The 25,822-nt window shown below is 47.4% G+C and overlaps 1 protein-coding gene across 3 annotated transcripts, besides 1 other annotated feature; it reads right to left on the bottom strand.

The window, feature by feature from the left end:
• Nucleotides 1-961: 961 nt before the first annotated feature.
• CCL22 (C-C motif chemokine ligand 22) lies at nt 962-9,242 on the bottom strand. 3 transcript variants are annotated; one of them, XM_047434450.1, is made up of 4 exons: nt 9,219-9,242; nt 8,262-8,364; nt 6,591-6,714; nt 962-3,647 (listed from the first exon to the last, which is right to left on the bottom strand). In XM_047434450.1, the coding sequence occupies exons 2-4, from the start codon at nt 8,332-8,334 to the stop codon at nt 3,563-3,565; spliced, it is 282 nt and encodes a 93-aa protein (XP_047290406.1). In that variant the 5' UTR covers nt 8,335-8,364; nt 9,219-9,242; the 3' UTR covers nt 962-3,562. The 3 variants fall into 3 exon arrangements, with proteins under 3 accessions (XP_047290406.1, XP_047290405.1, NP_002981.2); XM_047434449.1 differs by having other exon boundaries at nt 9,003-9,226; NM_002990.5 differs by lacking the exon at nt 9,219-9,242 and having other exon boundaries at nt 8,262-8,368.
• Nucleotides 4,225-4,406: a silencer, noted in NCBI's record as "fragment chr16:57396657-57396838 (GRCh37/hg19 assembly coordinates)". NCBI's record gives its function as "represses an EF-1alpha promoter that drives an FKBP-Casp9 reporter gene in an ReSE screen in HepG2 liver carcinoma cells and K562 erythroleukemia cells {active_cell/tissue: HepG2 | K562}" and the evidence as "EXISTENCE:reporter gene assay evidence [ECO:0000049][PMID:32094911]".
• Nucleotides 9,243-25,822: the final 16,580 nt, after the last annotated feature.

Genomic DNA, 25,822 nt, shown 5'->3' with positions numbered 1-25,822 from the left:
GGACTGAGGGATAACTAGAGTAATGATGAGAAAAAAAAATGGGTAGCACTGGACGGCAAAAATTTCCTCTGGGGTGGGGTGGGGGTGGTGAGAATGGGGGTGTCCTTGTCCCCACCTTCCACAAGCCCTCAGGTGGCCAGGACCCTGTGCCCCAGAGAGCAGGGAGCCTGTGCTGTTCTTGAGGGATATGAGGGACTCCCCAGCCCTGGAAGTAGCACAGAAACAGCTCTGGAGAGGAGGATGGGGAGATCGGGGCACTCCTGCAGGACCAGGATGGGAGAAGGGATGGGCATGACCAGGGGGCCTCCCCTGCCGCCACCTCCAGGGCCCCTGGGACCCAGTCCCACCCAGCTCTCCCAGCTTATCTTTTCTGGCCAGTAAGGAGGATTGCCCACGTGTGCTTAGCATTTCCTCTGCCTGTGACCACGCTGGCTGTACCAGAAGGAAGGGGTCTCGGTCCCTGAAATGACCACATGGAAGGTTGCCTAAGACTGAGAATGCTTGATTAGACTTCGTGTGAGAAGAAATAGCTTCTGCTGAGTTGAGCCACTGAGATTTGGAGGTGTTTGTTGCAGGAGGTAGCCTTTCCTGACTAATACTCCCTCCCTTTCTCCAGTGTCTGCCCGTGCAGGGGGAAGGTGAAGGCTGAGTGGCTGAGTGATTATGCTGCTGAAAGCTCGAGATGTGGGGACTGCTTTAATGGTTTCATCAAATCCTCCTGACAGCTGGTCCCAAGGTGGGCTGGGAACTCTGGGACAAATGTCTGGGCTTCTCCATCAGCACCTGTGCAGCCACCTCCCAGGCCCTTGTGTCCAGCCCTGACTCCCACCACTCACAGGGTGACCTTGGGCAAGTCACCACCTATTTCAATGGGAAGGCTTCCCCAGTGGGATAGAGGGGATCATGGTGCCCCCTGCCCCATCTCACAGGGACAGCAAATGCCAGGAAACCAAAGCAGACACTATTTTAAAGGATTTATTTTCCAGCAGTCCTGAGGGGCAAGGACAGGACAGGAGGGAGAAGGAGATCCCAGGACGCTTGAGGGCCCCGTTCATGGGCAGTAGGCAGATTCGTCCTTCTAGTGCCTGTGGTAGGCAGGTTGACCCTGGGTTCGGGAGGGACACAGGCCCTGGATGACACTGAGCTGGATGCCTAGGCAGTGTCACTCCCCACACTTTCAACCTGAGCCCCACAGCAAGCCTATAAGGTGAACATTCTCACTGTGATTTGTCAGGCTGGGTTCAGGGAGTGAAATGGCCTCCTCCAATTCCACAGGTTCAAATACCCTGCAGAGCGGCACCAGCCTCCCTCAGAAAGGACCAGACACTTGTAACATTTATGTCCTTTACCTGGGACACTGCTGTCCCATACTTGCTGTATGAAAAGAATATTTCTCAAGAGGAAGAGGAAGCCAGGCGCAGTGACTCACGCCTGTAATCCCAGCACTTTGGGAGGCTGAGCCAGGAGGATCGCTTGAGCCCAGGAGTTTGAGACCAGCCTGGGTAACATGGCAAAACCCCGTCTCTACAAAAATCAGCCAGAAAGGCATAGATAGACCCAAATCCCAGTCTTTAGCCTGGCCCAACCACCTGAGAATGGTCTCTACCCAGGATTCCTTCACTCAATTACACCCTACTCTTTGCCTCCTGCCACAGACAGAGAGAGAGAGCGCTACGCTACCACAGCCAGCTTCCTCCCAGGGCCAGGAAAGCTCCACCTTGTCCCCCTCTCACAGTTCCTAAAATTCTTCCATTCATCTATTTGGCCTCTTAAGTATTTACTCTGTTTTCAAATACATATATAACTCCAGCTTATAATACCAAGTCAAAGGTAGTCTTTCACACCATAGCATGAATTTGATTGTCAGCTATTTAAGGAAGGAGGCAGGGAAAGTGGAATGGGGGGTACTCTGAAGAGGCCAGGCCTGGGTATTGGAGGTTGGAGGACCACCCAAAAAAAGCCTGAGGGGAGAAGGAAATGTAAGCAGACACGACACATAGGTAAAACGAAGAAAGGTACAGGAGTCTCCTATTAGGAAAAAAAGGGGGAGGCTGGGTGTGATAGCTCACGCCTGTAATCTCAGCACTTTGGGAGCACAAGGAAGGTGGATCACTTGAGGTCAGGAGTTCAAGACCAGCCTGGCCAATATGGTGAAACCTGTCTCTACTAAAAATACAAAAATTAGCCAGCCGTAGTGGCACACACCTGTAATCCCAGCTACTTGGGAGGCTGGGGTGGGAGAATCGCTTGAACCCAGGAGGTCGAGGTTGTAGTGAGCCGAGATCACGCCACTGCACTCCAGCCTGGGCGACAGAGTGAGACCCTGCCATAAAAAAAAAAAAAAGTTGGGGGGGGGGTGGGGAGAGGGAAGAGGCCAGGCACTGTGGCTCACGCCTGTAATCCCAGCACTTTGGGAGGCTGAGGTGGGCGGATTACCTGAGGACAGGAGTTCGAGACCAGCCTGGCCAACATGGTGAAGCCTCGTCTCTACTAAAAATACAAAAATTAGCTGGGCGTGGTAGCAGGAACCTGTAATCCCAGCTACTCAGGAGGCTGAGGCAAGAGAATCACTTGAACCCAGGAGGCAGAGGCTTCAATAAGCCAAGACCACACCATTGCACTCCAGCGTGGGTGACAAGAGCGAAACTCCATCTCAAAAAAAAAAAAAAAAAGGGAGTGGGGGAAGAAAGGTGAATCTGGGCAAATTTGGGGCTTCACATTGACCCAGCTGGCCCATTTCTAGTGACCTTGAGTCTCTGTATTGATATGTAACTGCCTTTTGGCAGGGAGAGGGGAGGGACATTAGTTTTATTGATTTTGTCTGCAGCCACTTTCTGGGCTCTGATTCTGAGCCAGGGCCTGTCTGCAGTGCTCTATGCTAGAGGCTTGGAGACTAGAGTAACTTAGCTAGAAACCTTGGTCCAACTAGTGGAGAGGTGGGGGAGAAAACCCCCAAATCCCAAGAATCTGCGGAGACTGTGACTAGGGTTATTAAGAGGGGACAGAGGGCCAGGGGACATCTAATACATGAAATGGAATTACCAGCTGCTTGGGCGAGCAATGCCTTGGAGGGCTGGTGGGGCTACACATGTGCAGGTGGTGGGACTTTCTGGGTGTCAGCAACATCCCAGGCAAAGACCCAGAAGTGGGATGTGTAGTATGGGTTTGGAGAACAGGGAGCTAGAACCCAACATTCATGAAGGGAAGTGGGCAGGCTGGAGACAGAGATGGAACCCAGATCCAGAGGGCCACATGCCAGGCTTGGGAGACTGACCTCAGCTTAGGGCAGTGGGGAGTCATGGAAGGGTTTAAGCAGGGGAATCGCTGATGGGAACAGGACCCTCTGACTGCAGGGAGGGAGGCAGAGGATGGGTTAGAGGGGTCAGGGGGGAGATGGCAGTGACAGCACGGAGGTGACCAAGGGTGACAGCCACAGGGATGGAGATCAGGGAATGCAGAGAGTTGGCACAGGCTTCTGGCGGGGAGCAGCTATAATGGCAGGGAGGTAGGGCTCCTGAGCCTTCCTGGAGGAGCCAAGGCCACGGTCATCAGAGTAGGCTCTTCATTGGCTCAGCTTATTGAGAATCATCTTCACCCAGGGCACTCTGGGATCGGCACAGATCTCCTTATCCCTGAAGGTTAGCAACCTGGAAGAAGGAGACCCCAGAGACAATGCAGCAACATTAGCACGCAGCAAGGATGCCACACCCTCGGGAGCTTAGCATTTATGAGCCACCTACTTTATGCAGGGCTCAGCATTTATGAGTCACCTACTACATATGACATTATCTGCTAAATAGAGTGGTTCAAAATTTACAAGCCACCTGTGGTGTGAAAAGAATATTTCTCAGGAGGAAGAGGAGGCCAGGAGTTCACGCCTGTAATCCCAGCACTTTGGGAGGCCGAGGCAGGAGGATTGTTTGAGCCTAGGGGTTTAAGGCCATCCTGGGCAACATGGCAAAACCCTGTCTCTACAAAAACGTACAAGTCAGCCAGGCATGGTGACATCTGCCTGTGATCTCAGCTACTTGGGAGGCTGAGGTGGGAGGATTGCTTGGACTCAGGAGGTCAAGGCTGCAGTGAGCCCAGATCTCTGCTCCACTGTACTCCAGCCTAGGCAACAGAATGAGACCCCGTGTCAAGAAAAAAAAAAAGAGGAAGAGGCAGCAAGGACTTCCAGGACCCTCAGCTCTTGAATCCCAGCCTTGAGTTCCAGATCAGGCCATGAAATAGAATCCCCAAGAGTTGGGTTTTGTTTTTGTTTTTGTTTTGTTTTGTTTTGTTTTTATTTTTTGAGATGGAGTCTCTGTCACCCAGGCTGGAGTGTAGTGGTACGATCTTGGCTCACTGCAACCTCCAACTCCTGGGTTCAGGCGATCCTCCTGCCTCAGGCTCCCGAGTAGCCGGGATTACAGGTGCCCGCCACAACACCCAGCTAATTTTTGTATTTTTAGTAGAGATAGGTTTTCACCATGTTGGCCAGGCTGCTCTTGAACTTCTGACCTCAAGTGATCCTGCCTGTCTCGGCCTCCCAAAGGCTAGGATTATAGGAGTGAGCCACTGCGCCAAGCCAGAATCCCCAAGAGTCTTATAATATCACTTAACTACTCTGAGCCTCCAGACACATTCTTTCTAGGGTCCCTTCTGGCTCAAAATCCAGTGATCACATATGATTTGATTGATTGATTGATTGATTTTAGAGACAGGGTCTCACTCTATTGAGGCTTGTCTTGAACTCCTGGCCTCAAGTGATCCTCCCAACTCAGCCTCCCAAAGTCCTGAGATTACAGGTGTAAGCCACTGCACTCAGCCTTTTTTATTTAAAAAAATGAAATAAAGACAGAGTCTCAGTAAGTTTCCAGGCTGGCCTCAAAATCCAGGGCTCAGGAAATCCTCCTGCCTCAGCCTCCCAAGTAACTGAGAAGCACTACATGCCCAGCAATTGAGCATCTATTATGTGCCAGACATTGAGCTCTTCACCTTCCTCTTACTATTACTGTGCCCTGTAATGCTCAAGAGGCCCCCTAACCTTTTTGTGCTCATTTCCTCACCTGTGAAAAGGGGGTCACGATGGCACCTACTGCATAGGATTGTTTCAAGGATTAAATGAGTTCATATTTATAAAGTGCTTACGGCAGAGCCTAGCACTTAGCAAGCACTCTCTATGTGTTTGATAAATACAAATAAGTCAAATAAGTTTAGGTTATTACTTCATTATACTGTTGGGGAAACTGAGGCTCAGAGTTAAAGAGACAAGAACTCTGGGAGGGCTTCCTGCTTCAGCCTTTTTTATTATTCACCTGCAGATCCCTCTAAGAGATGGTGTCAGCAATAAGGAGGAGGAAGATGAGAAGATAATAGAGGCCCAAAGTGGGTCATGAGTCCCCAAACCCAGCCTCCCCAGGTGTGAGATTTGGTAGGCAGCAGGCTCTGAGCAGTTGGAGAAGCAGCCAGAGAGGCTACCGCAGAGAGGGCAGGACTTGTCACCCAGCCAGGTGCAGGTGCAGGCCCCAGGCCAGGGAAAAGGAGGCAAAGAAGCCAGAGAAAGAAGCAAAGGAGAACAAGAAACTCAGGAGAAAGCCCTGAACGAGGAACCAGGAGTGAGTTCTGGCTCCAACCTGGGCAGCCTTGAGCAGGTCACTGTCCCTTGCTAAGCCTGTTTCTCCATCTCTACCATGGGAATCGTTGAACTTCCTCGTAGGATTGTTGTGAGAATTAAACCAGTTAACACAGGTAATGATCAGAACAGTGCCTGGCACTCGGGAGGCACCTTGGAAATTTTAGCTCTTAATGTTATTCTTCTGGTCAAAATGGGCTGCCTTGGACTTCTGGGAGCCTGGAGAGGATCCAAGACACTTCTGGTGTGAGCATTTTTTTTTTTTTTTTTTTTTTGAGACAGAGTCTCCCTCTGTTGCCCAGGCTGGAGTGAGGTGGAGCGATCTCGGCTCACTGCAACCTCCACCTTCCAGGTTCAAATGATTCTCCTGCCTCAGCCTCCCAAGTAGCTGGGACCACAGGCACGCACCATCACACTCAGCTAATTTTGTATTTTTAGTAGAGATGGGGTTTCACCATGTTGACCAGGCTGATCTTGAACTCCTGACCTCAAGTGATCTGCCTGCCTCGGCCTCCCAAAGTGCTGGGATTACAGGCATGAGCCACCACGCCTGGTTCACCATCCATTTTTGCCCAGAACCTGGGAGCATCTTTGCTGACTCAGTGGCACTAGGTATACTCCTATACCTGCTATACCCAAATACCCTAGATGCCACAGCTACTGACTACCTACTGCCATACCCACACTGTGGTGGCACCCTGTTCACTCAGCTCTGCATCCTCAGAACCTGACATGTTGCCTGGCACCTAGTAAGCGCCTGAGGATATTGGCTAAACGATCACATTATTTTTGTTTGTAGTCCACCCAAGCCTGAACTGAGCCATCTCTTCCAGCCAAGCCATCCTGGCAGGCATCTGGTAGCCCTGCCACATTCCTCTCATCCCTGGGTGTGTCCCACCCACCAGCACCTGGGCCATCCCAGGCTGTACCCGTCAGGCCCACCAAGGCCCTGTGGCCCCAGCTCCCTACTCACACCACGCCAGGCCTCGGGCAGGAGTCTGAGGTCCAGTAGAAGTGTTTCACCACGCGCAGGGGCAGACGGTAACGGACGTAATCACGGCAGCAGACGCTGTCTTCCATGTTGGCGCCGTAGGGGCCTAGGGGAGGGGTCCCCAGTGAATTCACAAGCTGGAGCCCAGAGAGGTCACCCTCGGCCCCAGCCCCTGATCTCGGCCTCTCCAGGCTCCAGGAAAGAGATGCAGTTTTTCTGTTCTCATGTGGAAGGATGGTGACCAGAGGATTCTGAGCCCTCCAAGACCCTACCCTTGGAGCTTCTGAGAAGCCACTTAGGGTCCAATGTCTACACTCTGGGACAGTCAGCTCTAGGAGCGGGGATTCAGAACAACTAAGCATCAGCTGTAGCCTGAGGCCCAATTTCCTCCTCTGACCAAAGGGGTAATAACAGTACCAGCTTCAGAGGGTCTTTAATGCATGAAAAGCACTCAGAAAGCCCAGCAGCTGGGAGCAATTCTTGTTTATAGCTGCCTGACCCCACTCCAGTGCTCACTCCTCCACCCAACACAGCAAAAGTATAGAGTGGGGTGGAGAAGAGGAGTCAGGAATCCATGCTGAGGACAGGTTCTGGACAAAAATGGATAGTGAGCCCAGAGCAGTGGCTCACGCCTGTAATCCTAACACTTAGGGAGGCCAAGATGGGAGTTTCACTTGAGGTCAGGAGTTCGAGACAAGACCGGTCAGCATGGTGAAACCCCATCTTTACTAAAAATACAAAAATTAGCCGGGCATGGTGGCAGGTGCCTGTAATCCCAGCTACTCAGGAGGCTGAGGCAGGAGAATCACTTTAACTCCAGAGGTGGAGGTTGCAGTGAGCTGAGATTGCGCCACTGCACTCCAGCCTGGGCAACAGAGACTCCATCTCAAAAAATAAATAAATAAAATGAAATAAAAAATAAATTTAGGCTAGACGCAGTGGCTCATGCCTGTAATCCCAGCACTTTGGGAGGCTGAGGTGGGAGGATCATCTGAGGTCAGGAGTTTGAGACCAGCCTGGCCAACATGGTGAAACCCTGTCTCCACTAAAAATACAAAAATTAGCCAGGTGTGGTGGTGCATGCCTGTAATCCCAGCTACTCAGGAGGCTGAGGCAGGAGAATCGCTTGAACCTGGGAGGTAGAGGTTGCAGTGGGCCAAGATTGCCCCACTGCACTCCATCCTGGGCAACAAGAGTGAAACTGTGTCTCAAAAAATAAAATAAAATAAAATAAAAAATAATAATAATAACATTTTAAAAAATGGATGGTGGGAGGGCAGCACCAGCTTTCCAAGGGAGAACCCCTTGCCCCAGCCCTGCCTTCCCCCACTCAGACCTGACCCTTAGAAGCTCCTCACCCACACCCCTAGGGCCCTATGCTTGAGTTTTCTGGGGCAGGAGATCCCGAGGCTATGCCCACCACAACCCCCAACCCAGGTGAGACAGATCCTAGACTCCAAGTCTTCAAGACTGCCCATTCAACAGACTTGTAAACTGAGGCCCAGAGAAGCACTGCAACTAGCCGAAGGCCGCAAGAGCCAACAGCAGACTGAGGTCTTCTGCTCTTGGTCCAGTGCTTGTCCAAGACATGAGGAAGACACCCCACCGTCTGCCCTGGCCTCTGTAGGGGGTCTTCCTGCTCCCCAGCCTCACCTGCCTCAGTTGCTTGAAGCGCCACAGCAAGGAGGACGAGGACAACCAGGAGTGCAGTCTGTAGGCGATCCATGCTCTGTCCTGTATGTCTCAGCCCAGGTGTCTGCAAAGGGACATAGGAAGACCTGCTATTTAAGGTGCTGGCTCCACCCACAAGCCTCACTTACTTACCTCTTAGTCACCGGGGTGCCCAGAGTCACTTGACATTCACATCTCAAAAGAAGAACTACCTCCCACTTCCTCCAAAGTGGAGAAATTCTCTTTGGCGGGGAACCACTCAGAGGGGACCCCCCCTCAACTCTGTCCTCGCCTCTGGTTTCAGACAGACTTGTAAAATCCCCCTCTTAGAGGCTTGTGCTCCCCAGGGTCTCTGCACTGTGTGGCCTTGGCCATGTCTGGGTGTCTCTGGGACTTGGTTTCCCCATCTGGAAATGGGGGAGATGGTTTCACAGCTCTGTTGACTTCACTGGTTGTAAATCAAGTGAGAACGTGGACCAACCCTCACCTAGAATTGAGGCCTGTCTTGTACCCTTAATGACGGCATTACTGGTCTCTCTTCAATGGGAGAGGCCTATGGACCCATTGACCCATCTGGGGCTTCTCGTGAAGTCCACATTTGGGCCAGGTCGTGGATTTCTCAACGGTTTATGGAAAGCATCTACCCACACTTCTGTCCTGCCTGATCTTCCTTCCCAGTGGCTGCCGGGCTCTCCCTCCCCCACTCCTGTCTCAGTCCCTCACCATGTCCATGTCCCGTTGATTCTGCTTCCTAAATCTCTCTCAGATCTGCTCCTTCTCTCCAACCCCACTGTTCCTGCCCAGTCCAGGCCACCTCCACCTCAGGCTGGGATGCTGGCCTCCTCAATGCCATCCCCACCCTGCAGCAGCCAGCGTGAGTGGTCCAGAGCTACACACTCTCTCTCCTGCTTCAGAACCCTGCCGTGGCTCCCCATTCACCTAAAGGCAGGTCCCGGGCTCCTGTCTGTGGCCTTCAAGGCCCCGTTTCCGGACAGGCCTTTCCCCACTGGTCTCCTTCCCCTGAGGGATCACACCACACTCCTCACACTTCCTCAAAAGGGACTGCGGCCTGTCCCTGGCCTTTAATGTCACTTTCCACATCTCTACCACATAAACTCCTACTTATGCGTCAAAGCTGTTTGAAATGTCATGTCCTTGGTAAGCACACCCTCTCAGGACTTCAAAGCCTTCTAGGGGACCTGGAATGTGGCCCTGAGCAGACTGGGTCAGGTTTTCTCTTTCTCAAGCCCCTCCCTAGAAGTCAGACTCCAAGCTCTAGGAGGCTGGGGTCTCCCTTCATTTTTCTTGGCATTCCCAGGGCCCTCTGAGGATCAGGCACATGTTGGGTGCTCAGAACACATGGGCTGGGTGCAGTGATTCATGACTGTAATCCCAGCACTTTGGAAGGCCCAGGCAGGTGGATCACCTGAGGTCAGGAGTTCAAGACCAGCCTGGCCAACATGGAGAAACCCCATCTCTACCAAAAATACAAAAATTGGCCGGGTGTGATGGCATGCGCCTGTAATCCCAGCTACTTGGGGGGCTGAGAGGCAGGAGAATCGCTTGAATCCGGTGAGAGGCAGAGGTTGCAGTGAGCCAAGATTGCGCCACTGCACTCTAGCCTGGGTGAGAGAATGAGAGTCCATCTCAAAAAAAAAAAAAAAAAAAAAAAGAAAGAAAGAAAGAAAAAAAAGAACACATCTAATGAAGGAGGAAACTGAGGTTCAGAGAGAGAGGACTTGCCCAGTTCACACAGCCACACAGAGGCTACGCCAGGCCTGGAACTCAGAACTTGGGACTCCATGTATAAAGGGACCCATCCATTCATCCAATTCCTTCATTCAGCAAACATTTATTGAACGCTGTGGTAAACAGAATAATGGCCCCCCTAAATGTCCACATTCTAATCCCCAAAACCTATGAATATGTTACCTTACATGGTAAAAAGGACTTTGCAGATGTGACTGTTTAGGGTTTAGGATTTTTGTTGTTGTTGTCGTTGTTTTAGAGGCAGGATCTCACTCTGTCACACAGGCCGGAGTGCAGTGGTGCAATCACAGCTCACTGCAGCCTTGACCTCCTGGGCTCAAGCGATCCTACTGCCTCAGCCTCTCAAGTAGCTGGGACTACAGGTGTGTGCCACCACGCCCTGCTCATTTTTATTTCTTGTAGAGATGGGGATCTCACTATGTTGCCAGGGCTGGTCTTGAACTCCTGGCCTCAAGCAATCCTCCTATCTTGGCCTCTTGAAGTGCTAGGATTATGGGTGTGAGCCACCATACCTGACCTAGGATCTTTAAAGAGGGAGATTTATTGGATTATCTAGACAGGCCCAAGGCAATCACAGAGTTATTTCAAGAGGGAGGCTGTGGGTCAGAGTCAGAAGAGATGATGGATGACAGAGCAGAGGTCCCAGTGACGTGGAACTGTGAACCCAGGGATGCAGGCGGGCTGGAGAAGCTGGAAGAGGCAAGGAAACAGATTCTCCCCCAGAGCCTCCAGAAAGAACTTATCCCTCCCCACACCTTGATTTTAGTCCACTGAGACTGATTTAGGACTTCTGACCTCCCAGGCTATTGGATAATAAATTTGTGATGTTTTAAGCCACCAAGTTCATGGTCATTTGTTACAGCAGCCAGAGGAAGCTCATACAAGCACCTACTATGTGCCAAGTGCACTGCCAGAGCCTGGGAAGGCAGCCTGAACAGGAGAGCAGGGGCCCCTGCTCTCATGGAGTTTGTCTTCCACAACAGACAAACATGGCAAACAAGGTAATGTCAGGCTGGGAGGAACACCGGGAAGCGAATGAAACAAAGAAGCAGCTTTGGGATAGGCAGTCGGGAAAGGCCTCTAGAACGGGGTGACATTTCAGCTGAAATTCAAAGATAGAAAGGAGGCCAGGCACGGTGGCTCATGCTTGTAATCCCAGCACTTTGGGAGGCTGAGGCAGGCAGATCACTTGAGGTCAGGAGTTCAAGACCAGCCTGGCCGATGTGGTGAAACCTCATCTCTACCAGAAATACAAAAATTAGCCATACATGGTGGCATGCACCTGTAATCCCAGCTACTTGGGAGGCTGAGGCAGGAGAATTGCTTGAACCCCGGAGGCAGGCAGAGATTGCAGTGAGCTGAGATCGCACCACTGTACTCCCGCCTGGGTGGCAGAGCGAGACTCCATCTCAAAAAAAAAAAAAAAAAAGAAGATAGGAAGGAGCCTGCCAGGGAGCACAGCAAATGCAAAGGCCCAGACAGAGTGAGAGGGCTGAACAGCTGAGACAGTGTGGGTAGAGACAGAATGGGTAGAGATGCAGAGCACAGCTGAGTGGAGAGGCTGGCAGGCAGGGACCGCAGGGTTCCTGTGAGCTCCTGCTAGGATGCAATCTGAAGTGCACGGCATCATCTCGGAGGACCTCTTTTCAAAAGCCATGACCCAGGACCAGTCACAAAAGAACAAACACTGTATGATTCCACTGCTTTGGGGAACCTGGAATAGTCACATTCACAGAGACAGAAGGCAAAATCGTGGTTGCCAGGGGCTGGAGGTGGGGGAATGGGCGTTAGTGTTTCATGGGGACACAGTCTCCATTCTGCAAGATGAAAGTTCTGGAGGTGGATGATAGTGATGGTTGCACAACAATGTGAATGTACTTAATTCCACTGAACTGTACACTTAAAAATGGTTACAATGGTAAATGTATGTGATTCACAGTTTCACCATTTTTTAAAAGGTGCTCCCCTACAATCAAATCAAGTCCCTAGTATTAATTACCAGTTGACAAGAAATACAGGGGCTAGAGGAAAAAGATAAATGGCCCTGTGAGGAAGCAATCAGACAACCCCAGAAGGTGGAACCTTCCAGATGCTCTTCAGGATAACAGTCCTCAGATCATCAAAAAGTTAATGTTGGTCCGGCGTGGTGGCTAAAGCCTGTGAGCACTTTGGGAGGCCCTGGAAGGCGGATCACTTGAGGTCAGGAGTTTGAGACCAGCCTGGCCTACATGGTGAAACCCCATCTCTACTAAAAATACAAAAATTTAGCTGGGTGTGGTGGTGCGTGCCTGTAGTCCCAGCTACTTGGATGGCAGAGGCATGAGAATCACTTGAACCTGGGAAGAGGAGGTTGCAGTGAGCCGAGATCGCGCCACTGCACTCCAGCCTGGGCAACGAAGTGAGACTCTGTATCCAAAATTTTTAAAAAAGTTAATGTTGTTTTAAAAAAATAATAAAGTGAATAGAACATTTAAGATTAAAAGAGGCTTAAGAGACATAACAGCCAAATGCAATACACGGACCTTGATTGAATCCTAGTTTTGAAAAAAGTCAGGGCACGGTGACTCACGCCTGTAATCCCAGCACTTTGTGGGTCTGAGGATCGCTTGAGGCCAGAAGTTTAATACCAGTCTGGGCAACATGGTGAAAACCCCTCTCTACAAAAAATACAAAAAAAATTAACCGAGTGTAGTGGCATGCGCCTGTAGTTCCAGCTACTCAGGAAGCTGAGATGGGAGGATCACTTGAGCCCAGGAGGTGGAGGTTACAGTGAGCCAAGATCACAGCACTGCACTCCAGCCTGGGTGATAGAGTGAGACCCTATCTCAGAAAAGAAAAAGAAAAAACAGGGGGCCAGGCACAGTGGCTCACGCCTGTAATCCCAGCACTTTGGGAGGCCGAGGCAGGTGGATCACCTGAGGTCTGGAGTTCAAGGCCAGCCTGGCCAAAATGGTGAAACCCCATCTCTACTAAAAATACAAAAATTAGCCTGGCGTGGTGGTGCGCACCTGTAATCCCAGCTACTCAGGAAGCTGAGGTAGGGTAATTGCTTGAACTCAGGAGGTGGAGGTTGCTGTGAGCCGAGATGGCACCATTGCACTCCAGTCTGAGCGACAGTGCAAGACTCCATCTCAAAAAAAAAAAAAAAAAAAAAAAAAAAGGAAAAGAAAAAAACAGCTCTAAAAAGATCTTTTGGGAACCAGCGGGGACATGTGAAAATGTGAATATGGGCTGGATATTATAGTAGATATTCGTGCTTTATTGTTGATTTTCTTCAGTGTAATGTGGGAAAATGTCCTCATTCCTAGAAGATGAAGTATTTAAGGATAAAGGTCATAAAACACTGAAGTATTTAGGGATAAAGGTCATGATCACCTTACTTTCAAAGAGTTCATGGGAAAAAAATGTGTGTAGACATATATGGATATGTATGCAATATGTGTGTATACATATGTGTATGCATAACTATAGATGTATGTGCCTATCTATATATGTGTATATATATGAATATGTATGTAATATATGTTCATATATGTGTGTATAGCTACAGATGTATGTACATATCTATATATGTGTGTGTATATATATGGATGTGTATGTAGTGTGTATATATATGTATGTATAACTATAGATGTATGTGCATATCTATGTGTATATATATGAATATTTATGTAACATGTGTCTGTATATGTGTGTATATATGGATGTGTATGTAGTATGCATGTGTTTATATATATGCATATGTGCATGTGTAGACATAGATGTATGTGTATATGTGTGTATAGTGTGTATATGTGTGTGTGTGTGTGTGTGTGTGTGTGCATATCTCCCAGAGAGAGAAAAGAGAGACTAAGTATATGTGGTAAACTGAGCATCAACGATGTTGCAGCTTGGCAGTGGATATACTGGTGATCACTGAACTACTCTAAGGACTTTCCTGAATATTTAAAATGTATCATATAAAGGCAGCTGAAGGTATTGGGGTGGGGGGAAAGAAAAAACAAAATAAATAAGAATAAAATGTGTCATAATAAAAACTTGGGGTGGCGGAGAAGAAATCTTTAAATGTGGAAGTCATCCTGTGGCCTATGGGCGGCTCTTGGAGGACTGAAAGTGAGTGACAGAGAATTGGCCTGGTGGCTCTTCACCCGAACCTGGGGTTTTCTTACAGGGGGCACTCCAAGGCCGAGGTCCCTCCATGGGTGGGCTCAGGGGCTCCCCCCTGGAGAGCCCCTGAGTCCCCAGGGACTCGGCAGGGCTCCAAGTCCTTGCTGCTGGCTCAGCCTTTGCAGCAGCCGCCCTCCCCATTACCCCTCTCCCTGGGCTTACAAGGAAGGTAAGTCACACCTGGGGGCCAGCAACCTTTGCACCCCCAGTGCCCTTGACCTCCTGGGAGCTGGAGAAGAGCAGGCATGGCATTCAATGCCATGGCCAAAAAGGACACGGGAAACCAGCTTTCAAAGAAAGGAAAGGGGAGTTCCTCTTGGGGCTGCAGGTGGGGAATCATCAGAGACACAGAGGGCAGCTGTTGTTGATGGGGGTGTCTTCTCTCCTCCTGTCAGGTGTTTTATGCTGGTGTTATCCTTCTGTCCATGCTGCAATGTGTGGAAAGCTCCCAGATCTAACCCTCTTTTCCTCAACCTTCCTTCTTCTTTTGTTTAAATTAATGTGTTTATTAAAAATACATTAAGGTAGAAACAACCCAAATGTCCATCAACTGATAAGTGGATACAGAAAATGTGATATATGTATGATCCAGGAATCCCACTGCAGGGTATTTATCCAAAAGGAAGGAAATCTGTATATCAAAAGATGTCCATACACCCATGTTTATTGCAGCACTGTTCACAATAGCCAAGATATGGAATCAACCTAAGTGTCCACCAATGGAGGAATGGATTACAAGAATGTGGTATATATACACAATGGAATACTATTTAGCTATAAAAAAGAATGAAATCCCATCATTTGCAGCAACATGGATGGAACTGGAGGTCCTTATGTAAAGTGGAATAAGCCAGGCACAGAAAGACAAATATCATATGTTCCCACATATGTCGGAGCTAAAAAGTTGATCCCATGGAGGTAGAGAGTACAATGGTGGGTTACCAGAGGCAAGGGAGAGGTATGGGGATAAATAGTAATTGGTTAAAAAGTAAAAAATACAGATGGATAGAAGGAGTAAGTTCTAGTATTTGATAGTATAGTGGGGAGATTATAGTTAAAAATAATTTATCATATATTTCAAAATAGCTGGAAAAGATTTATATATATATATATATATATTTTTTTTTTTTTTTCTTTTTGAGTCGGAGTCTTGCTCTGTCGCTCAGGCTGAAGTGCAGTGGCACGATCTTGGCTCACTGCAAGCTCCACCTCCCGGGTTCACGCCATTCTCCTGCCTCAGCCTCCTGAGTAGCTGGGACTACAGGCACCCGCCACCCTGCCCAGCTAATTTTTTTTTTTGTATTATTAGTAGAGATGGGGTTTCATCGTGTTAGCCAGGATGGTCTCGATCTCCTGACCTCGTGATCTGCCCATCTTGGCCTCCCAAAGTGCTGGAATTACAGGTATGAACCACCATGCCCAGCCTGGAAAAGATTTATAATGGTCCCAACATAAAGAAATGATAAGCCAGGAGCGGTGGCTCACGCCTGTAATCCCAGCACTTTGGGAGGCTGAGGTGGGCGGATCATGAGGTCAGGAGATTGAGACCATCCTGGCTAACACGGTGAAACCCCATCTTTACTAAAATACAAAAAATGAGCCGGGCGTGGTGGCGGGCGCCTGTAGTCCCAGCTACTCGGGAGGCTGAGGCAGGAGAATGGCGTGAACCCAGGAGGCGGAGCTTGCAGTGAGCCGAGATCGCGCCACTACACTCCAACCTGGGCGACAGAGCAAGACTCTGTCTCAAAAAAAGTAAAAAAAATAAAATAAATAAAAATAAAAGAAATGATAAATGTTTGAGGTGATGGATATCCTAATTATCTTGATTTGATCATTGCGTATTGTATACAGTTATCAAAATATCACATGCACCCCCAAAATATATATAACTATGAAATCTCAATTTAAAACATAAAATATATGCGGTACATACATGCAACAGAAAATTATTCAGCCTTACCCAGCACTTTGGGAGGCCGAGGTGGGCAGATCATTTGAGGTCCAGAGTTCAAGACCAGTCTGGCCAACATGGTGAAACCTTGTCTCTATTAAAACTACAAAAAACTAAGCCGGGCATGTTGACGCATATCTGTAATCCCAGCCACTCGGGAGGCTGAGGCATGAGAATCGCTTGAACCCAGGAGGTGGAGGCTGCAGTGAGCCGAGATGGCGCCACTGCACTCCAGCCTGGGTGATAGAGTGAGACCCTGTCTCAAAAAAAAAAAAAAAAGAAAAAGAAAAAAAATTATTCAGCTTTAAAAAGAAAAGAAATTCTAGAACCAGTCACAAAAAGACAACAGGGTATAATTCTGCTAATATAAGGTACCCAGAGCAGTCAAATTCACAGAGACAGAAAGGAGAATGGTGGCTGCCAGGGTGGGTCTGGGAGGTGGGGAATGGGGAGTTATTGTTTAATGAGGGTGGAATTTCATTTTGGGAAGATGAAAGCATTCTGGAAATGGAACGTGGTGATGGTTACACAACCATGTGAATGTACTTAATACCACAGAACTGTACACTTAAAATGGTTTAGATGGTAAATTTTATGTTACGTATATTTTAGCACAATAAAAATACACAATAACATATAAATGTGTATTTGCACAAGTGTATAGTTTATATGTGGAAAGATACACAAACAATCTCTATTAGTTGCCTCCAAGGACTCAGGGTAGTGGGTGGGGCAGGTGCTCAGAGGGGAAGACTTACTTTCCACCAAATGCCCTTACTTATGATTTGAACATTTTTCCATGTGCATGACTGACCTATGCAAAAAGATAAAATTTTAAATTCATGCATTACAAAAGGGGTAGAATGAAAAGCAGTTTTCCCACCTCTGAGATGCTACTCACCCCCATGCCAGGTTTAATTTCCTTTCCTCAGAGGCAAACAGGCTTAATGATTTCTTGTTTGTCCTTCAGAAATAGGCTATGCATATTGCAAGCTTCTGTGTAAAGGAAGGAAGATGGGAAGTGAGAAGGAAGAGAGGGAGGAAGGGATGGAAGGAAGGAAGGTGCAGGGGGGTAAAAAGGAAGGAAGAAAGGGAGGGAGGGAAGGAAGAAAGAGGGAAGGAGGGAGGAGGGAAGGGGGAAGGATGGTGGGAGGGAAGGATGGAAGAGCGAGAGAAGGAAGGAAGAAAGAAAGGAGGGAAGAAGGAGGCAGGAAGGAAGAGCAGAAGATAAGATATACGAAAACCTGTTTTGCACCTTGGTTTTTTCACGTAAAATGCGTCTATCAAAATATCTAGCCAAACCGTGTTCTTTCTATTGGCTGGGTGGTTTTCCACGATATGGATATACCATAATGCCTATAGCCAGTCCCCGACTGATGGATATTTTGGGCTTTTCCAGTCTTTTTCATTTATAGAATAATGTCAAAATAACCTTCCTTGAGTGTACTTGCAAGGGGGAATGCTTCTGGTGGGCAAATTCCTAGAAGTAAGGTGGCTGGGCTTTTATATATCCACAGAGATTTAAAAAGAAAGCCCCTGCCCTGAACAGCTGTCTCGGAGCTTCCTCTTTTCAGCAGACGCAGGGGGTGCCCCAGGAGAGGCTCTGTATGGGGTTGAGAGGAACACTTCAACCACTGATTTCTTTCGTTGTTTTTTTTTTTTTTTTCAAGACGGTATCTTACTCTGTCGCCCAGGCTGGAGTGCGGTGTCACAATCACAGCTCACTGCAGCCCCGATCTCCCCAGGCTCAGGTGATTCTCCCACCTCAGTTGTTGTATTTTTAGCAGATATGGGGTTTCACCATGTTGCCCAGGCTGGTCTCCCACTCCTGGGCTCAAGTGATCCACTAGCCTCAGCCTCCCAAAGTTCTGGGATTACAGGCGTGAGCCATCGCTCCCAGCCCGAGACTATTTTTTAATAGAGATGGGGTTTCACCATGTTGCCCAGGCTGGTCTCAAACTTCTGGGCTCAAGGAATCTTCCTGCCTCCGCCTACCAAAGTGCTGGAATTACAGGCATGAGCCACCGCACCCGGTCGACATTTTCATCACCACAAAAAGAAACCCCATATCATTAACAGTCACTCCCCGTTTTCCCCTATCCCCAACTTCTGGCAACCGTGAATCTATTTTCTATCTCTATGGGTTTATCTTTTGTGGGTATTTCATACCCATGGAATCATATATATAATACGTGGCATTTTGTGTCTGATTTCTTTCACTTAATGTTTTCAGAGTTCATCTGTATTGTAGCATGTATCAGCACTTCATTCTTTTTCATTGCTGGATAATATTCCACTGTATGGATGGACCCATTGTGTTTATCCATTCATCAGCTAATGGGCATTTGGGCTATTTCCACTTTTTGGCTCTTGTGAATCATGCTGCTACAAACAATTTTGTGCAAGTTTTTTTGTGAACATGTTCTCCATTCTTTGGGGCATATATGTGGAAATGGAATTGCTGGGTCATGTGGTAACTCTAGGTTTAACTTTTGGAGAACCTACCAGGCTGGTTTTGTTACTGGATGGTGCCATGCAGTTCTGGGTTCTTGGTGTCCCGAACAAAGAACTGGAGGAGACACACATGGAAAGCAAAGCAAAGCAGCAACAGGGTAAGAAGTGCAGTGTCCACTCACAGATGTGGGAGCGGACTGACCTCTGCAGATGAGATCAGCATCAGCTTGGTGTCATTTGGGTCTTTTCATGAGTTTTTTTCTTCTCGTCACAAGGCTGCCTAATCTCTAGCCAGTGTTTGGCTTTTGATTGATAGGTGTGTTGCTCAGTTACTTTGGGCCCTTGTGCATTTCTGTGTCTCCTCTATCCCATAATTTTAAGTACATGCATGATATACAGCCCATATGCACGAACCTTAAGTAGCTGATAATCATGCAGGATTATGTGAAAGATACTTTTTCTCTAATGCGCATGCCCATCTCTGAAGAGCTTCCCCTTAGTGGTTTGGTCTGGATCTTGCTGGCCATGGGGTCCTTGCTCACTACTTTTTTTTTTTTTTGAGACGAGTCTCCCTCTGTTGCCCAGGCTGGAGTGCAGTGGCGCAAAATCGGCTCACTGCAACCTCCGCTTCCCAGGTTCAAGTCATTCTCCTGCCTCAGCCTCCCCAGTAGCTGAGATCATAGGTGGGCACCACCATGCCCCAGCTAATTTTTTTGTATCTTTATTAGAGACAGGGTTTCACCATGTTGGCCAGCCTGGTCTCAAACTCCTGGCCTCAAATGATCCACCCATCTCGGCCTCCCAAAGTGCTGGAATTACAGGTGTGAGCCACTGCGCCCTGCCTCCTTGCTCACTACTTTATCTCACTTTTGTTTTGGCTGCTGAACCTCTGCTTTTCATCTCACTTCTTGCTCACCCACCCCTTCACCTTGTTTCTGTTCTCTGCTTTTACTTATTCTGTCCTTTATCCAACTTTCAGTTCCCTTTGCTATTCTTCTGCCTCATTTTCCCTATTCTCTTGCCTCATTTTCAAGGAGGTTCTACCATTTTACATGAGTGTTCTATTTTCCCACCAACCTTTGCTATTGCCTGTCCTTTTGATTACAGCTATCCGAGTGGGGGTGACGTGCTGTCTCTCTGGCTTTGATTAGCATTTCCCTAATGACTAATGATGCTGAGTATCTTATCATGTGTGTATTGGACATTTGTCTATTTCCTTTGGAAAAATGTCTGTTCAAGTCTTTTGCCCATTTTCCATTTTTCAGTTGTGTTGTTTGTCTTTTTTGTTGTTGACTTGTAATGGTTCTTCATGTATTTTGATATTAGATCTCTATCAGATGTATGATTTACACATATTTTATTCTTTGGGTTGACTTTTCACTTTATTGATAACACCTTTGGAGCACAAAACCTTTTCACTTTGATAATATCCAATTATCTATTGTTTCTTTGGTTACTTGTGCTTTAGATATTATATCTAAGAAATGGTTGCCTAACCCATGGCCATGAAGATTTGCTCCTATGTTTTCTTCTAAGAGTTTTATATTTTGATTCATTTTGAGTTACATTTGGTAAATGATGTGAGTGAGGGATCCAACTTTAGTCTTTTGTATGTGGATATCCAGTTGTGTCAGGTTATTTATTGAAAAGACTATTCTTTCCCCCATTGAATTATCTTGGCACTCTTATCAAAAATCAACTGCCCATAAATGTATTCATTTATTTCTGGACTCTCAGTTTCTACACAATTTTTTTTTTTTTTTTAAGAGACAAGGAGCTTGCTCTGTTGCCCAGGCTTGCAGTGGTGCAATCACAGCCTCGAACTTCTGGGCTCAAGCCATCCTCCCTTCTCAGCCTCCTGAGTAACTGAAACTATAGGCATGCAGCACTGTAACAGGCTAATTTTGTTGTTTGTTTGTTTTTGGAGAAACAGGGTGTCACTTTGTTGCCCAGGCTGGTCTCAAACTTCTGGGCTCAAGCGATCCTCCCACCTCAGTCTCCCAAAGTGCCAGGATTGCAGGTATGAGCCACCACACCCAGTCCACAATCTTCATTAGTCCTTCATAGTAATTCCCTCCTCCTAGGTCTTCTTATTTTTTTAATTTTCAAACAAATCTTTCAAATATGCAGAAAAGTAAAACAAATCTTGGGATCCACAACCTAGATTTAACAGCAGTTAACATTTTACTGTCTTTTGGTTCACTAAGAAATAAAATATTTTAGATAGAGCCAGGCATGGTAGCTCGTGCCTGTAATCCCAGCACTTTGAGAGGCCAAGGAGGGCAGATCGCTTGACCTCAAGAGTTCAAGACCAGCTTGGGTGACATAGTGAGATCTCATCTCTACAAAAAATAAAATAAAATAAAATAAAATAAAATAAAGAAATAAAGTATTTTAGATACAACCAGAGCTACCCTACCCCTACCCCCACCCATTTCCCCTCCCTATCTCTTTTTGGGTAACCACAAAACCACCTAGGAAGTTACTGGGGTCCTTCCCAAGGATGTCATTGTACTTTTATAGCCTTATAAATAAGATATAGCATTGTTCTGTGGGCCTTAGTATTTTACGTAGGCAGCATCATACAGGATATAACCTTTTATAACCTGCTTGTTTTGTTCACGTTTATCTTTGTAAGCTTTTTCTCCATGTTGATCCACATGGATCTAGTCCATTCATTTTTACTTTGAAGCAAGTTCTATTTTGGTTTCATCCATTGTTTATTCCTGGATTCCCCTGGCAGTGAATATTTGGTTGTTTCCAGATTTTCACTATTACTGGTAGTTCCGTAATGAATGGGCATTCCAGTGTGCACCTTCTTGTTCCCTTCATCTTTTTGTTTATTTTTGGCTCTAAACTTGGTTATCCACTGAGGGACTTGCTTCCCCTGCAGGTTTCTAAGACATGGCTATTATCTCCTCAATAGCCGTTCTACTGTGGGGCTGGGGATAGAAGAGGCATTGCCCCTTGCTCTTTGTAGCTACTTCCAAACCACACATTTTTCCTCCCTAAAATCCCCAGCTTCTTTCCTTAGTTTAATTTTTAAAAAAAAATAGAGACAGGGTCTCACTATCTTGCCCAGGCTGGTCTTGAACTCCTGGCCTCAAGTGATCCTCCTGCCTCAGCCTCCCAAAGTGCTGGGATTACAGGTGTGAGTCACCTCACCCAGCCCCACAGCTTTTTTGAAATGCAACTCACCACTTTACCATCCATTGCTCCCTCCGGTTGCAGCCATCTACACACCCCTGTCATTCCCCCTCCCTCCATGTCTGTTACAGCTCCCAGCTTATAGTCATTCTCTCCAACGTGATTCTGACACAATCATGATTTCCTTTTGGGGGTGTGTGTGAACATGTTTTAATTGCAGGATTCTTAGATATAGTGGTTAATCCATTGCTCACAATTCCTTACTAAGAGTGCCTCATGCTGGAAACACATGCCCTCCCCTTACATTACATTAAACTCAGGTGATCACATCTGTTTTTTTAAATTATTTTATTATTTTTTTTGAGACAGAGTCTTGCTCTGTCGCCCAGGCTGGAGTGCAGTGGTGCAATCTTGGCTCACTGCAAGCTCCGCCTCCCAGGTTCACACCACTCTCCTGCCTCAGCCTCCCGAGTAGCTGGGACTACAGGTGCCCACCACCACGCCTGGCTAATTTTTTGTATTTTTGGTAGAGACGGGGTTTCACCATGTTAGCCAAGATGGTCTCGATCTCCTGACCTTGTGATCCGCCTGCCTCGGCCTCCCATAGTGCTGGGATTACAGGTGTGAGCCACCGTGCCCAGCCAATCACATCTCTTTAACACAGAGTTCTTGTGTTAAAAGATTCTCATCTTTGTGAAGCCAAGGACTGTGGTGCAAAAGGAATATTTCATTAGCTGAAGTCACTACTATTTGCTAGAAAGATCCATTACTTTAGAATACTTCAACTATAAAATATATTGAATTTTCATATATCTCAACCATACACATGTGTAACTAACACTAAATGCGGTTCAGTCATTAAAAAGTAAGATTCTGGGTTGGGTGCACTGGCTCACGCCTGTAATCCCAGCACTTTGAAAGGCCGAGGCAGGAGGATTGCTTTAGGCCAGGAGTTTGAGACGTTAGCCTGGGCAATATAGCGAGATGCTATCTATACTAAAGAATTTAAAAATTAGCTGGGCCTGGTGATGCATGCCTGTAGTCCCAGCTATTTGGGAGGCTGAGGTGGGAGGATTGCTCAAGCCCAGGAGGTCAAGGCTGCAGTGAGCTGTGATCACACCACTGCACTCCAGCCTAGGCAACAGAGCAAAATCCTGTCTCAAAAAAGAAAAAGAAAAAGAAAAAAGACATTCTGGGAGCAGGGTACAAATATACAATCTGGCTGAATTCCCCAGGTAAGGACCTGTGTGTTATAAATTAATTGCTAATACCAAACTGAGAGCTCGGTGACCCACACAGTGTACAGCTAGGAAAGCAAACGAGGCCCTCATATCTCAGAGCCACAGGGTGATTTCAGTAACCAGCCTTTCTGTCCCATGGTCTCCTTTCCTCCCGTGAGCTTGTCCTCCACCTGCCTCAGCCCCTCACTCCCAAGGTCATATCCTGAACCATGTCATTACCAGTAACTGCCTTTGCATAGTCTCAACATAAAACACCGCACTCTCCAACCACCACCATCTGTCTGTCCAGCTCATTGCCTTGAGCATCCAACTCCAATAGTCCTTTAGGCTCACCCAGGCTGATCCTGCCCTTTTCCCTTGCCTCTCCTTCACGTCCTTAATTGTCACCTTGCTAAGCTCCCAACTTCCGTGGTCTTTCATTACAGACATCGTTTACCTACACCCTCGACTCTCTTCCCAAATAACTTCAACTCTCATTCCTGCTAACTCCTAGTAAAACCGGAACCCGGAAAACCCAACTCTCCACCAACTCTGTACCTGCCCCAGTGCAGCTGACACGGCTGGAGAAAGCCACCCAGTCACGCTAATGGTAAATCCAAGATCACTCACCTCAGTGCCACCCAAAAGTCCCACTGCGTTTCCCTGACTCATTCGCTCTCCCACTCTCTTTGACTATTTCATACTTTCCTGTCTCCACTCAAACCTTCAAACTCCTCCTCACTGATCTGCACTTGAAACCTGTGACCCTGATTCCCATGTCCCCAAGAAACGAGAAGTTACCAGAAGACCACACCCACCTGCAACTGTCGCATCTGCCCACTGCATTTTCCTTGTTCCTCACTCAAGGATAAGCTTGTCCAACCCAAGGCCTGTGGGTCGCTTGAGGCCCAGGACAGCTTTGAATGTGGCCCAACACAAATGCGTAAACTTTCTTAAAACATTAGGAGATTTTTTGGGCGACTTTTTTTTTTTTTTTTTTTTAGCTCATCAGCTATCATTAGTGTTAGTGTACTTTATGTGTGGCCCAAGACAATGCTTCTTCTTCCAATGTGGCCCAGGGAAGCCAAAAGTTTGGGCACCCCTGAAGGACATCACTCCTAATTCTCCTGTTTCTTTCCTGCATCATCAATTTCCTCCTTTCTACTGTATCATTCTCTCTCTCTCTCTCTTTTTTTTTTTTTGAGACAGACTCTCGCTCTGTTGCCCAGGCTAGAGTGCATTGGTGCAATCTTGGCTCACTGCAACCTCTGCCTCCCGGGATCAAGCGATTCTCCTGCCTCAGCCTCCCAAGTAGTTGGGATTACAGGCACACACCACCGCACCTGGCTAATTTTTGTATTTGTTTTTAGAGACGGGGTTTCACTTTGTTGGCCAGGCTGGCCTTGAGCTCCTGACCTCAAGCGATCCACCTGTCTCAGTGTCCCAAAGTGCTGGAATTACAGGTGTGAGCCACCGCGCCCGGCCCTACAGTAGCATTCTCACTGGCATGCAACAAACCAGTAATTCTCCCATCTTAAGAAAACAGTGCATTAGGAAAACAGATCCCACATCCCCTTCCAGGTGCTGGACCTTTACAGTAAAACTCAAAAGAACAGTCAATACTTGCTATCATCAATTCTCCTTTTTCTTGTCTCTTCATTCCAATTCTGATTGCAAATACTTCTTAGGAATTCCTTGGGATGGCAGAGTCATGAGAGGAAGATCCACTTCAGAGAGGGGAGAGATGAAACCCTGGAGCACACTTTATTCCTGAGGTTCTAATAGGGGACTAAGAAAATACTTTTGATTTATGTGGGAGAAATCATTGAACACGTGAAGGATATAAATGTCTTCTGTAGTTAAAAAAGGAACCATTGGAATCAGGTAAACTGGCATGTATTAGGTACTGTAACGTCAGATGTCATAACAAACAAACCTCAAATTGTATAATGGCTCAGACACAGTAAGTTTATGTTTCACCACATAAAGTCCAAAACAGATGTTCCTGATTAATGGGCAGCTCTTCTCCAAGTGGCGGTTCAGGCACCCGGACTCCTCCCATTTGTGGTTCTGCTGTTGTTAACAGATCGCCGTGTTCATCTACATCAAGTCATAAAAGGGAAAATAGAAGCAGGCCTGGAGCGTGGGAAACTTTTTTGGTCCAAGCCTGGAAGTTGGGTGCATCAGCTCTGATCACATTCCATTAGCCAGAATTCAGACACCTGACCTCACCTGTTTGCAAGGAAGGCTGGGAAACAGAAGAGGTGTACTCAAGAAGAGGAAATAGGTTTGGCAAAGAGCCAGCCAGGCTCTGCAAATAATGGACATCCTCCAAGGAACAATGATTGGGCAAAGAGAAGATGACTTACCCTCCAGGACTTTGTTCTGAATAAGCAGCTTGTCCTGGCCTGGATTTCCGAGCAAGTCCCATTGTAAAACCACAATTGCTCTTTCTTCAAGAAGAAAACCCTTAGAAAAGCAAACAATTCTACACATTCCATCTACCTCTTCTGCCATTTGATATGTTTTGTGGGTTTCCAATTGGCTTTTTGGTATTCTATAAAAATGAGAGTCATCTTATAGCCTGTAGGGTGAGGGTGTGAGTAGCATGGCTATATCCTAAGTCTCAGAGATACGGGCTCTGCTACCAACTGGCAGTGAAGCTTGACTACCAGGCCCTGTGCCCTTGGGACTCAGGCCCTGACTCTGTGAAATGGGACTGGTCATGCCTGCCACTGCCAGGCTATTTGAGGATCAACAACTTGCACATTCGCAGCTCCAAATGATCTTTACAACAGCCTTTGGTGATTGAAAGGGTATAAATGCCCCTTGCA

The sequence above is a fragment of the Homo sapiens genome, chromosome 16 (genome assembly GCF_000001405.40).
Source record: "Homo sapiens chromosome 16, GRCh38.p14 Primary Assembly".
Classification (NCBI taxonomy): Eukaryota; Metazoa; Chordata; class Mammalia; order Primates; family Hominidae; genus Homo; species Homo sapiens.
Note: the sequence above shows the minus strand (reverse complement) of the source record. Positions and strands in the feature narration are given on the sequence as shown.

Coding starts and splice junctions, on each gene's coding strand:
- CCL22 (XM_047434449.1), bottom strand. Junction 6,715..8,261: donor GCTTCAAGCAACTGAGGCAG/GTGAGGCTGGGG, acceptor CCCCTCCCCTAG/GCCCCTACGGCGCCAACATG. Junction 3,648..6,590: donor TGCCCGAGGCCTGGCGTGGT/GTGAGTAGGGAG, acceptor TCCTTCTTCCAG/GTTGCTAACCTTCAGGGATA.